General features: G+C 47.7%; 1 protein-coding gene across 3 annotated transcripts in view; it reads right to left on the reverse strand.

The window, feature by feature from the left end:
- The window catches only part of ITGA11 (integrin subunit alpha 11), a 135,632-nt gene that overhangs the window by 51,599 nt on the left and 71,047 nt on the right, over positions 1-12,986 (reverse strand). For all 3 annotated transcript variants that reach the window (XM_011521363.3, NM_001004439.2, XM_005254228.4), the window contains 5 exons: positions 10,328-10,455; positions 9,021-9,169; positions 3,128-3,272; positions 2,487-2,652; positions 700-770 (listed from right to left, as the gene is read on the reverse strand). In XM_011521363.3, the coding sequence (XP_011519665.1) occupies positions 700-770; positions 2,487-2,652; positions 3,128-3,272; positions 9,021-9,169; positions 10,328-10,455 (659 nt within the window). The remainder of the gene's footprint in view (positions 1-699; positions 771-2,486; positions 2,653-3,127; positions 3,273-9,020; positions 9,170-10,327; positions 10,456-12,986) is intronic.

Here is a 12,986-nt window from a genome sequence, read left to right on the forward strand (position 1 = left end):
CCCCTCCTTATGAACCAGCACCAGGTGAAGCACACAGCGGGGGAGTGATGCAGAGCCCCAGATGTCACATGTTGCTTGTGACACCACACCCCTCCCTCTGTGGGCCAGCCCCACCCCAGGACCTCTGCAATCTGATGCAGCACCCACACAGTGGGGGGGGCCTATGAGTCACCTGCCAGAGCACAGCTGGAACATCTGGATACCCTCCCAACATTGACATGGGGCCTGGCATGTGCAGGCCGCCTTGGGCACTGGAGCTATCCAAAGCACGTGCCATTGGCTTTGCCACCTGCCCTAGATTTTGCACAAGGCTCTGTGGACTGAATGGGAAGGCACACCCCGCGCCTCACAGGTGAAATTATGGGATTATTGTCTGTAGTCCATTCGCTTCTAAAGAGCAAATGAACTGTGGCTATTTCTCTGCTGTCCTACAGATTGTACGTTATTTGTGGGAAGGATCACCTGGGTGTTTACTCATTGTCTGGTGGCTTAAGACAACATAAATAGGTGGAAGACCTCGACTCCCCTCTTCCAGCCCACAGAAGATGGGAGGCAGAGAGACCCCAAGAAAGAGAGAAAGTGAGGAGAAGAGCCAACCCATCTGTGAAGGTGGATGACAGATCCAGAGAGCTAGAAAGGGGAAGAGCATGCCCTCGAGAGACAGAGGCTGGGCTCTGTGCCCGTACCTCCACCACATACCTCCACCACGTGCGAGGAAAAGCCCGTCTGTGACATCTCCAGCCCAAAGGAGGTCTCGTTCTTGTTGGTGCCTGCAACAGAGTGACAGAGAGATGTCAGCTCCATGCCCAATCCCTTAGCGCCAGACAGATCTGCTGCCCAACCCACAGCTCCTGCTTCCTGGGGGCATCGTCAGGAGGTGGGGCTCTCTTTCGAGGGGGGGCTCTGAAGCTGAGGCCAGTAGTGTGCCAGCCTCCTCAGCCCTCCCCAGCACCCTGTGCAGTGGGGGGCACCACACACCTTCCAGGTGCCCATGTGGGTTGTTACTGGTAGCCCACTTACTTCTGAAAAGGGCTCGGGACAACTTATATTACAGGGCATGTATACTATGAGACTGCTAAAACTGGAGGGAAAGTAAGCAAAAGTGCACAGAAATAGTGTACGTTTTTGGCCAGAAATGGAATTTCCCACTTTGTTCATTCCTTTTATTCACTAGCTTTGGTTCCAGATGTCTTTGGATGGAACTCAAACATCAAATCCACCCTCAGAGGGAGGTCTGTCACCACTGCAGATTTGCGTAAGAAATCCCATGAGTGCTGAAAGCCTCTCCCCACAGAGGGACTCCCTGAACACATCATTGGATCGAATGTTCTCATCACTCAAGGCGACCATTTTGAGGAGAAATACAGATTTGGATATTTGAGTTCTGGAGTGGGTGTCAAAGCTCACGTTCAGACTTTATATTCATCTGCCCTTGTTTACGAGGGCCATTTTAGTCTCTTCGTGTGTCTGTGGCTTGTCATTTCCAATGCACTGCAGACTTCTCAGGCTTTATACTGCCTTCTATTTCCTTTTATAATCCTCCCATATGCCCAAAGCCCGATATTGGAAGGGCCCACTGTAGCAATTTATGGTGGAAATGAAATTTATGCAAATCAGAAATGGAGCTTAAATCACAAGGAGAGAGGCAATCTGAAGGACTCTGCCCAAAATAAAAAATGCTTTTGGTGGAGTGGAAGCAGTTGGCATATAGGGATTAAGGGTTTCAGAATACGGAGTCAGACTCTGCTAGGCACAAGCTAGGGTTGCCTGATGCAATATAGGATGCCCAATTAAAACTGAATTTCAGAGAACAAATAAGTTTTAACCTAAGCCTGCCACACCCACTGTATCTTATTTTTGCGAAATTTGGCAACCCTAGTTCAAAGCCCACCATGCTCCCAAGCTGTGAGAACTTTGGCAGGTCACTCAACTCCGTTGAGTTTCAGTTTTCCCAGCGATAAAAATGAGAACATTAGCAAAGCAACCTTTCAGCATTGTTCATAAAACGCACAGCCTCACGTCCGGCACGGAGTAATACTCAATTGTTGGCATTTATGATTTATTTATTTTTGGGGACAGGGTCTGGCTCTGTTGCCCCGGCTGGAGTGCAGTGGCATGATATCAGCTCACTGCAACCTCAACCTCCCAGGCTCAAGCGATCCTCCCACCTCAGCTTCCTAAGTAGCTAGGACTACAGGCATGTACCACCACACCTAGCTAATTTTTGTAATTTTTTTTTTAAAGAGACGAGGTTTTGCCTTGCTGACCAAACTGGTCTTGAACTCCTGAACTGAAGCAATTCGCTCACCTTGGCCTCCCAAAGTGCTGGGGTTACAGGCGTGAGTCACCATGCCTGGCCTGGCATTTATTATTACGGAAGACTCTTGTTAAGCCATTTCGTTTTGTGGGATTGGTTTGTGCTCTACGGGGTTTACCTGACATAAGCCCAGGAGAGAGTGGATCCCCTCTTAGCATGCATTGCTTACCTTCCAGGCTGAAGATTCTGTCCCCCAGGGCATCGACAATGTCCTTCAAGGCAGCCTCATCAGTGACATTGAAGAAGTGCTTGTCATCAGGGTCACTGGCGATGTATTTGATTTCATTTAGAAAAGTTTCTGGATTGATCCCCCTGCGGTTGTAGTAGCCCAGGACCTGCCAGGGAACAGGGGCAGGAACCACAAACCAGAACATAGCACAGACTTTCCCATACACCACACGGCCTAGACCCTGGGGACCCCAGGGTGGGCTGGAGCCAGGGCCGGTAGCCATGAGAGTTCCTCGCAATGCCATTTGCATTTGGAATGGACTCTCTTTTAGGGGCAAGATAAAGCCCTTGTGCTAAGTTAGGGTCTGGGAGCTGGGAGGTTTGGAGGTGTATTCTAGTTTTCTGAGGTTCCAGACCCTCCCTGGCAATGGATGGGGGGAAACACAACCCGTAGCTTTTGTGGATAGGCCAGAGCAGTGCAGAAAGATCCTCAACTTGTTGTTCAGAAGATGAAATGGGAGGCTTTTTTGAGGGCCTGGACACTTGTGATACTGCCTGGAACTAGTCCCTTGGAGTCCCCAGGGATTTGATGGTAAAGCCTCTCAGAGGCCATCAGCAGCCCTTGGGCGGGCCAGGACTTACGGCCACCGCATATCTTGTTACGTTGTCTCTTTCGCTTTGCTGGATCACCTTCTCCAGGTCTGGGCTGTCGTGGGACTCCCCATCTGTGATGACAATCATCACCTTCTTGGCTCCTTTCCTTCCACCCTTCTGGAAAGCCTCTGAGCTGGAAGCCAAGCACAGGGGCAGGGTCATGAAAGGTAAGTGGGATTGGGGCAGCCCCTGACGCTCCTGCAGAGGGGCAGCCACAGAAACCAGGACCAAGTCCTCCTTGGGCAACCCAACAGGTGCCAGGACCTCAAACCAAAGAAGTAGCTGGATTGAGATGGCCAGAGCTACTCTTTCACCAGCTGCTCAGAGGGTTCTTAGATCTGTTGTTTTTAAATGAAATGTTGAAAAGCCCCTTTGGAGTCCTGACCTTGCTGTTTTGGACAGGCCAAAGGGATGAGGTGGACCTGGGAGGGGAGTTCAGGGGCAAGTGGCAACCTTTAGAGGCATTAAGTCAGTGGTTCACAACCCCAGCTGCTCACTGACATCTCTCGGAGGGAGGCTTTAAAAACTGTTGGCCTGGCACGGTGGCTCACGCCTGTAGTCCTAGCACTGTGGGAGCCGAAGGCGGGCAGATCAACTGAGGTTGGGAGTTCGAGACTAGCCTGACTAACATGTCGAAACCCTGCCTCTACTAAAAATACAAAAATTAGCCGGGTGTGTTGGCATGCGCCTGTAATCCCAACTACTCGGGAGGCTGAGGCAGGAGAATTGCTTGAACCCGGGAGGCGGAGGTTGCAGTGAGCCAAGATCGCACCATTGCACTCCAGCCTGGGCGACAGAGTGAGACTGTCTCAAAACAAACAAACAAACAACCAAACAAACAAACAAACAAACACCATTGATGTCCAGGCCTCAGCCAGACCCCTGAAATTGGAATCTCTGGGGTGGTGGCCTGGATATTAGTTTTTTTTTTTTTTTTAATTGAGACAGAGTCTCCCTCTGTTGCCCAGGCTGGAGTGCGGTGGCACAATCTCAGCTCACTGCAACCTCTTCCTCCCGGGTTCAAGCGATTCTCGTGCCTCAGTCTCCTAAGTAGCTGGGATTAGAGAGCTCTGCCACCACGCTTGGTTAATTTTTGTATTTTTAATAGAGACGGGGTTTTGCCATGTTGGCCAGTCTGGTCTCGAACTCCTGGCCTCAAGTGATCTGCCCGCCTCTGCCTCCCAAAGTGCTGGGATTACAGCTGTGAGCCACCGTGCCGGGCTGGCATCAGTATTTTATAAGGTTCTGGTGAGCATCCAGAGTTGAGACTCACTTTCTTTAGTACTGAAAACAGGATGTGCCAGGGTGACTCAGCATCCAGACAACACTAACCCATAAAATGCGTGCGATGAGGCCTGACAGAGCTCTGACTTCCTCACAAGGACTACTTTGATTCTATTTTGGGAAACATTAAATATCAAATTCCATGACAAATATTTCTCTTTCTCACTTTTTATTTTGTTTTCAGTGCCCAGAGCATGAGCTCAGCCCACCTATCAGGCAATCCAGCCCAGGAGACAGCAGGGCTGGCACCTCGACCGTCAATTGGCAGAGAGGCTCTTGTAACAGGCCATTGGGCTACAAAGCATGAAAAACTGGCTCCCAAATCACCACTGGCTTTTGGTGTCCCTGTGGCCGGCCCTCCTTTAGACCATGAGGTTCTGAGGGGTATAGACATGGTCTCACCGAGGAGTCTGGCCCAGAAGTTATAGTCTGCCAATAAGGATCTAAAAATAAATGTTAGTCTTAGACTCTGAGGTTATTCCTCATGGGTCTGACCCACAGCAAGGCAGGACAGGCCACAGATTTAAGCTCTGTAGTGACAGGTTAAAGAGCCACACGGCTTTGGTATCAGAGGTATCTCTTCTTACGCAGCACGCTGAGGAACTGATGCATACAATTTAGGAGTTGAGGAATTTACAAAAGCTGGAATACATTAGTTTAGAACATCTTCAAACTACCAGCAAAGAGAAAAAACATCCACCATTCTCTTAGCAATTCTCCGATATGCTGGATATGTTGCCTTAAAAAACCCACTAATTTTAGTATGTGCTGTGGACTGAAACCTGCAGAGGCACGTGCCACATGACGAGAGCAGGTTTCGAGCTCAAGCGCAACCCAGTAGCAGGAGAACTCTGCTATTCTTTCCAAGGGGATTCTAGATGCTTCCATGACTGCATGGAAGGGCCAGGCCCAGGAATAAAACACCCTGCAAAAAAGCATGGCAGGAGCAAAACAGGTTTTATTATATATGGACCCAAGAAAAATGTCAGGATCATATTTCCATAGAGTGGAATAGTGTGAATGTCATATGAATCTGTAATCGTGCGAATATCAGCATGAATCATCAGATTTTAAATTCGGATTCTGCACTGGGTAAAGGGACTTGGATTTGTTCCTTTGTAAATTAGATTATACATTCCTTGAGAGCAGCAAGAGCTTTATACTCATAACAGGCTCCATGGGCCTAGAAACCAGAGTGGCCCATGGAGATTTAGGCCCCGTCACAGCTCCTTTCTGCTCAAAACCTGCACAGGTTCCTATTTCTCTCAGGGAAAGCCCAGATTCTGACAACAGCTCACTAGGCCCTCTGAAATCTGGCCCGTTTCCTCTCTTAGCCTCTGGTCCTGCTCACTCACCCCCACCCACACTGGACTCTTCAATGGTCTGGAAGGCCTCAGGCACACCAAGCCTTTCTCTGAGCTGTTCCCTCCCAGCCATCTGCTTGCCAACAACTCCCTCACCTCCTTTCAAATCTCCAATCAAAGGTCATCCGTCAGGGAAGCCTTTCCCCACCACCCTGTGCATGCTGATTCTGTACCTGCCCTCTGCACCTGCTCCACTCCCGCTACCACACTCCATTCTCCCCATAGCTTTCATCTCTTTCTAGTATGCTGTTATTTATTTATTTATTTATTGTCTGCCCCTCTCTCTAGAATGTCAGCTCACGATGGCACGGTATTTGTACCTATTTTGTTCACTGATCTAGCCTTGGTGCCTAAAATAGTGTGAGGCACATAGTAGAGGCTCAATAAAGTGTTATGTGGACAAAGGTAGAATCACACCACATTGTTCAGGGGCCCTCTCCACTTCCCTGCTGTACATAGCTGCCAGGCTCATTTTTTTTAACGTGCATATCTGATGATTACACTCCTGTACTCAAGAATCTGCAGTGGCCACCCATGCTGGTTTTAACTACAACATCATCACTCCCACCATCTTTACATGGCTCACTTCCCACCAACATGAACCCCTTGCTGTGGTCAAAAGGAGCACATCTCTGAATGCAAATGTTCCTTGACTTTCCCTCTCCTCTGCTGTTCTCAGGGTGGAATGTCTTGTGTGGCACGTCTTCTGTTCACCTCTTTTTGTTGGAATCCCAGGGTCTTCCCAGGACAGGTCCAGTGCCGCCTCCTCCTGGCAGTTCTCCTTGGCCACTCCATGGGGGCCCCTCCCTCTCTCATCCTCACCGAGTTAGGGTTAGGGTGAACACTTGTCACAGCCCTCCCATCAGTGGCCAGGACCCACAGATTACCGACATCTTTATAAGCCCTCATGTTCATGGCCTGGATCTTTGCCCTTTCATAGGTGCATAGGAAAAAACATGCATTAAGAATAAACTGAGTGAGGACAGAAAACCTTTCACCTTAAAAGGCACCAGCTGTAGTTTGGGACTTGAATTTGGAAGTTTGGGAAGATCAGAATTTGAGGTGAAGATTGCAACCTCAGCGGTGCTCATGAGTCACTGATGGTTCAAACTACCTGGTGAGTCACACACGGATAACTGAGCAGGGGTTGGTGGGTTGTAAAGTGAGGTCCAAACAGTGGGCTTTATCCCTGTATGAGTCAGTTAGCTTCACACTGAGAAAGTGAGAGCTGGTGGTTATGGGCTGCCTCCCTTACCCAAGCCATTTCACAAGGGCCTGCTGGGAGTCTCGGGTCTCACCCCGAAGAAGGCAAAACAAAAACAGAAAAATGGCCCATTCCTTATGAGGATGAGTAAGACAGCCACCTTCACATGGAGAAATGCTCATTTAGGAAAAGCTTGAGCAAGTTTTATCAGCAAACAGAAACACGCTAGTTGAGCAATGACTTAATTATAAAGAGTTATGAGGTTGGAAAAGTCTTAATCTTTTGAGCCTACGAATTCACAATACTACTAAATAGTTCTTTTTTTCTTTTTTTCTTTTTTTTTTGAGACAGGGTCTGGCTCTGTTGCCTAGGTGGAGTGCAGTGGTGTGATCTTGGCTCACCGCAGCCTCTGCCTCCTGGGCTCAAGTGATCCTCCCACCTCATCCTCCTGAATAGTTGGGACTACAAGCATGTACCACCATGCCTGGCTAATTTTTGTATTTTTTGTAGAGATGAGGTCTCATGCTTCTGCCCAGGCTGGTCTCAAACTTATGGGCTCAAGCAATCCTCCCACCTCAGCCTCCCAAACTGCTGGGATTACAGGTCTGAGCCACCGCACCTGGCCTAAATAGCTCTTACTTTGTGGATTTTTTTTTTAAAAAACACGTCAACTAACCCTACCTAAGGTGGGATTATAAGGTACCAGGTCTGTGGTCTCAACAAATGCAGCAGAATTCATATTTATAGGTGTAACACTTAGACATTTAAAATCTAAATGCCTTTGACACAGTCATCTTATGAGTTTAGGCCTCGGCTCAAGAGATCTGGGGATTGCCTTTAAAACTGGCTAATTTCAGTGGGGGGTGAGCACAATGTTTTGAGCAACAACATTACTGGAATAAGCATGTAGCCTTCTGCATAGACAACATCTAGGGATAACATTTATCTGGATGAGTGAGTTCTGGTGTGATTTTATTTTATTTTATTTTTTTGAGACGGAGTCTTGCTCTGTTCACCAGGCTGGAGTGCAGTGGCACCATCTTGGCTCATTGCAACCTCTGCATCCTGGATTCAAGCAATTCTCCTGCCTCAGCCTCCCAAGTAGCTGGGACTACAAGCGCATGCCGCCATGCCCGGCTAATTTGTTTTTTTTTTGTATTTTAGTAGAGACGGGGTTTCACCGTGTTGCCCAGGCTGGTCTCGAACTCCTGAGCTCAGGCAATCTGCCCACCTTGGCCTCCCAAAGTGCTAGGATTACAGGTGAGAGCCACCACTCCTGGCCGAGTTCTGGTGTGATTTTTAAGGAATCAGCCTCACTACTATACAGTCTCAGGTGTCAGATTTGACTGCATTCTTTCCACTCCATTGATGACTAACACTCCATAAGAAGACCCCATCCTCACAGAACCTACTTCTTATAGAGTGTCTGTGGCAGAAGCTATTTTTCAAAGTTGGCTGCAACAATATTCCCCATTCTAAATGCTCTTCTGCAAAATGACCTCGCTGTTCATCCATCAAGGGCAGAACCAAATTCCCTTCCCCTTGAATCTGGCCTGGGCTCAGTCACTTGCCCAACCAATAGAATGTGGCAGAAGTCATATTCTGGGACTTCGAGACTAGGTTATAGGCAGTCTCCCAGGTCCTGCCTGGGCCTCTTGGGATGCTCACTCTTGGGACGCTGTCTCTAAAACTCCTGTTGCCATGCCACAAGGAAATCAAGCCACATGGCTACGTGTGGGTGCTCAGGTCACCAGTCCCACCTGAGCTCTCAGCCAACAGCCAACAACAACTGACAGCCACGTGAGAACCTTCAGATGACAACAGCCCAAGGTGACACCAGACTGCAACTACCTGAGAGGACCCAAGAGAAAACCGACCAGCTGAGCCCAGTCAAACTCCAGAATTTTGAGGAATTAAGAAATTATTGTCTCAAGGTACTAAATTTTGTGGTAGTGTGTTACAAGGCAATAGATAACTACAATAGCATCTGAGATCTAAAAAAATTTTTTTTGTTCTACTTTTTTTTTACCGTGCAAATTCAATGCCAAATGCCGTCCGGGTCTCTGTTCCTCCTCTCTGCTCAATGTGGCTGGCAGCTTCCACCACATCTTTTACAGACCTGTAGTCGTTGAGGTGAAACTCATGCACCACATCTTCGCCATACTGCACAACTCCAACCTGCAAGGGAGAGGAGAGGGCAACAGAACATTTTGACCCCATGAACCCATGAACCTTAGAATTTGAGAGTGAGGATCCCCGGGAGTTGTCTCTGTGTGATAATACAGGAGGGAGGAGGGCTGAGGACCTTTCCAAGAAAGTAACCACAGCCAAAGGGAAGTGAGTTCTGCAAAGTTCTAGGAATGAATGGACAGCTTGGTGGCACAAGAAGGGGTGCATATAGAGAATGGAGACTTCGTGATTGAAAGAAAGGCCCAACAATTATGCTTCTTTCTTAGGAAAACAAAAGCAGAGCAGAGAATCAGTCTAAGTCCAAAAAATTATGAATAGTGTGGGTGGAAGGTCACAGTGTTTACCAAACTCCAAAACTGAGGTTCCTTAAAACTTGTAAGAGGTTCTTTTATCCCCATGGATGATAAAATAATGACAATATTAATAGCATCAAAATAAACAAAAAGCTTCAAGACCTATAGTAGGAATAGAACCATGAAACGTTCCTGTTGGAGGAGCCCACAGGGTTTATTTGGCACACGTGCCCTTCTAATGCTGGACTTTCACCCATGATACCCTAAAAGATGATCTTCTGGTGATGGGGAACTCATTACTTCATGAGAAAGTCCACTCCCTTTTTAACAGCCCTAATCGTTACAAATAATTTCTTAGATTGACTTGAAATCTGCCATCTAATAACTTCTAGTCATTAGTCCTCACTCAGGCAGAATAAAAGGGAATGAATCTACCTCCGCGTTAGCCAGGCAGCGTTTCAGATATATGAGCCTAGCAGCCCTTACCTCTCCTACCATCTTCCCTCCATGACCTGTATGTCTAATTCTCCCCTGTGCCCCACTCGACAGGGCTCTAGATTCCACTCAACCATTCCCACCTTCCTTGTCACTTTTTAGCTTGTCTAAGTCTTCACAGGTGGTGTCTTGTGTCTGACCCGTGAAGTGAGGCTTCCCCCAAAATGTCATTTGATGTGCTACACCAGAGAGGAGTGTCCTGAGCTGCAGTGCCCCAGTGCTGGCTGGCCCTACTACCTCTGCCCTCTTACCTACACCTCCTTCGTGCATGCAAAGATCTCTCTTAGACCTAAGGCAGCACCTGCCATGGGTTTGGGTGGCCCTGTTCAGAAGTGGAAAGAGCCCAAGAGATGCTCACCTGGATCTGCCCTGGGCCAATGTAAAACTTTTTCAGGATGTTGATGAGGAAGTGCTGAACCTCCACCCAGGGGTAGATGCTGTTGGAGCCATCCAGGACAATGACGATGTCCATGTAGGTCTGGCACCCTGGAAAGTGGGGACACAGTTATGGCTACCCAAGGAGCAGTGTCTGCGAGTCTCTGATTCTCTGGACAATTGTTCAAAGGACAAATGAATGACTCTGCTCCATATGTGTAATTCCCTGGGCTGGGAAACTGTCCTTGGGTTGGACATTTATTTGGGCAATGTGAGTGAGCCCAGGAATTCCTGGCTGTGTTCTACCACTCTGCTGGCTGTTTGAACAAAGCTTAAATTAAGCCTGATCACTTCTATTCCTAATCAGAGACTGACCACTACCAATCGGCCAACGCTTCCGAGGCAGCCAGCACTGCTCAAATCAGTACCTTGGTATTGTTTGTTTTGCTGTAATGAGCAGGCTGGCATTTACCACTTTCAGCCCAAATGAATGGATTTCTGTTTTTAGGAGGGAGATATGATGTCGTGGCTAGAAATGTGGGATGTGGCATCACACTGACTCCTGGCTTTGGCACTCCCTAGCTATGTGACCTAGGGTCAGTCACAAAACCTCTCAGCCTCAGTTTTCTCTTCTGTAAAAGAGGCACAACAATAGTAAAGAGTTGCCTAGAGTAATTAATGAGAAGATGCTTCTAAAGGGCTGAGCACAAAGCAAATGCTCAATAAATCTGAACTGATCATGGTTTCACTTTTTATTTATTTATTTATTTTTTAAGGAAACCACTGAGTTAATATGGTACTGATATCATCAGGTCAAGCTCTCGTGCCATTATCTCTGCCTCTGAATATAAAGGTTTCTTTATGCTTTTGTAATATTAATACTAAATTAGGCTGGGAGTCATGGCTCACACCCATAATCCCAGCACTTTGGGAGTCCGAAGTGGGTAGATCACCTGAGATCAGGAGTTCGAGACCAGCCTTGCCAACATGGCGAAACCCCGTCTCTACTAAAAATACAAAAATTAGCCAGGAGTCGTGATGCACACCTGTAATCCCAGCTACTCGGGAGGCTGAAGCATGAGAATTGCTTGAACCCAGGAGGCAGAGGTTGCAGTGAGCCAAGATCGGGCCACTACACTCCAGCCTGGGTGACAGAGTGAGACTCTGCCTCAAAAACAAACAAAACAAAACAAACAAATAAAAAAAAAACTAAATTAAAAGGAATAATGAAAATCAACAAAGAAAATTAAGAAAATATTGGCCATAACAAATATTAAAAAAACCCTCCTCTTTTAAAATCTAAGTAATTTATTTCTGTTTGTCAACAGTTGGAGTTACTTTGAAATAATGCATACACTCTGCGTCTGGGCATTGCTCATTTTTATTGGTGACTTTTTATGCTGTTATAAAATCTACTTTATAACAATGCTGCATGAACCTTTTGTGTGTTAACTGTTCCAGTAATTCTTGCATTTCGAAGAGGCACTATGTTGAAGTCAGTGCTGAGCAGACAGAGGAAGGTGGGGGTGGCTTTGAGTTGGGACGCCTGTTGCAGGCTTTGTGTTTAGTAGAGCATTTTAGAAGCATTTGGGCAACTTGAGTGCTCCGCCACTTCTTGTCCCACCTGCATACTGTGTACAGCATGTGATGACCTGACACTCCTGGCCTGGCAGAGCCTCATACATTTGTCCTTTTCTGGTTTAGTTCGGCTCCACACATGTGGACTGAGCACCTGCTATGTGCTGGAGCTCTGCATGGTGCAGGCAGCAGTGGGGGTGACCAAGACAGAAATTCCTTGATTTGGAGGAGTTCATAATCTTTTAACAGGTTATTTTTATTTTTATTTTTAAGCCAGCTTTATTATTATAATGCATTTATTATTGTTGATTTCTTTCTTACAATTTCACATTTTTCTTTCTAAGATACCTTGGGAACAAACTGGTTTGAGGGCTACGGTTCCTAAACATGGCTGAACACTCCCTTGGGGAGCTTAAAAACACACACACTCACACGCACGCATGCACACACACACACTTGCACATACTCCTACTGAATTAGGACCCACATGGGGTGCCCTGGAATCTGCATTTGGTAAGCTTCAGAGCAATGCTGCTGGTCAGCCAGGTGAGGAGGCCTCCACCACATGAGGTTCAGGGACCATAGGATGGTCACATCTAGGCCTGGAGGGACTAGCTCTAGGGGTGGTGACATTCCCCGGTGGGCCCCTCACGTACCCTGACCTCAGGCCTCCTCCTGTGCCCTGGCTCTGCCATTTCCTCTGTCATTTTGTGTGAATAGAATCCATGTCTCATTATCCCCCAGAAAGACGACCTTTCTGCCCCTGCTGGACTGATGCTTCCTCCTCCTCCCTTCCCCAGCCCCATCTGACTCGGCCTTGTTGTCTGGAGGGCGGCTGCAGGCAAGCCAGAGGTGCCAATTCCCGAACCCTCCATAAAACGGGCAGCAGCTGCTTGGGTGATGGTATTTAGTGCAGAGGAAATAGTGAGGCTCAGAGCCAAGAAGTCTGGGCTTGTGGGAGGCAGGGTCTGAGCAGTAATTCCCCAGGTTTTCTTCGCAGGTGGGCAATGAGCAAGAGGTTTTACGTTCCATGAGGCTCTGGACGAGCTGGACAGAACTCCCTG

This window comes from Homo sapiens, chromosome 15 (genome assembly GCF_000001405.40).
Source record: "Homo sapiens chromosome 15, GRCh38.p14 Primary Assembly".
In the NCBI taxonomy this organism is placed as follows: Eukaryota; Metazoa; Chordata; class Mammalia; order Primates; family Hominidae; genus Homo; species Homo sapiens.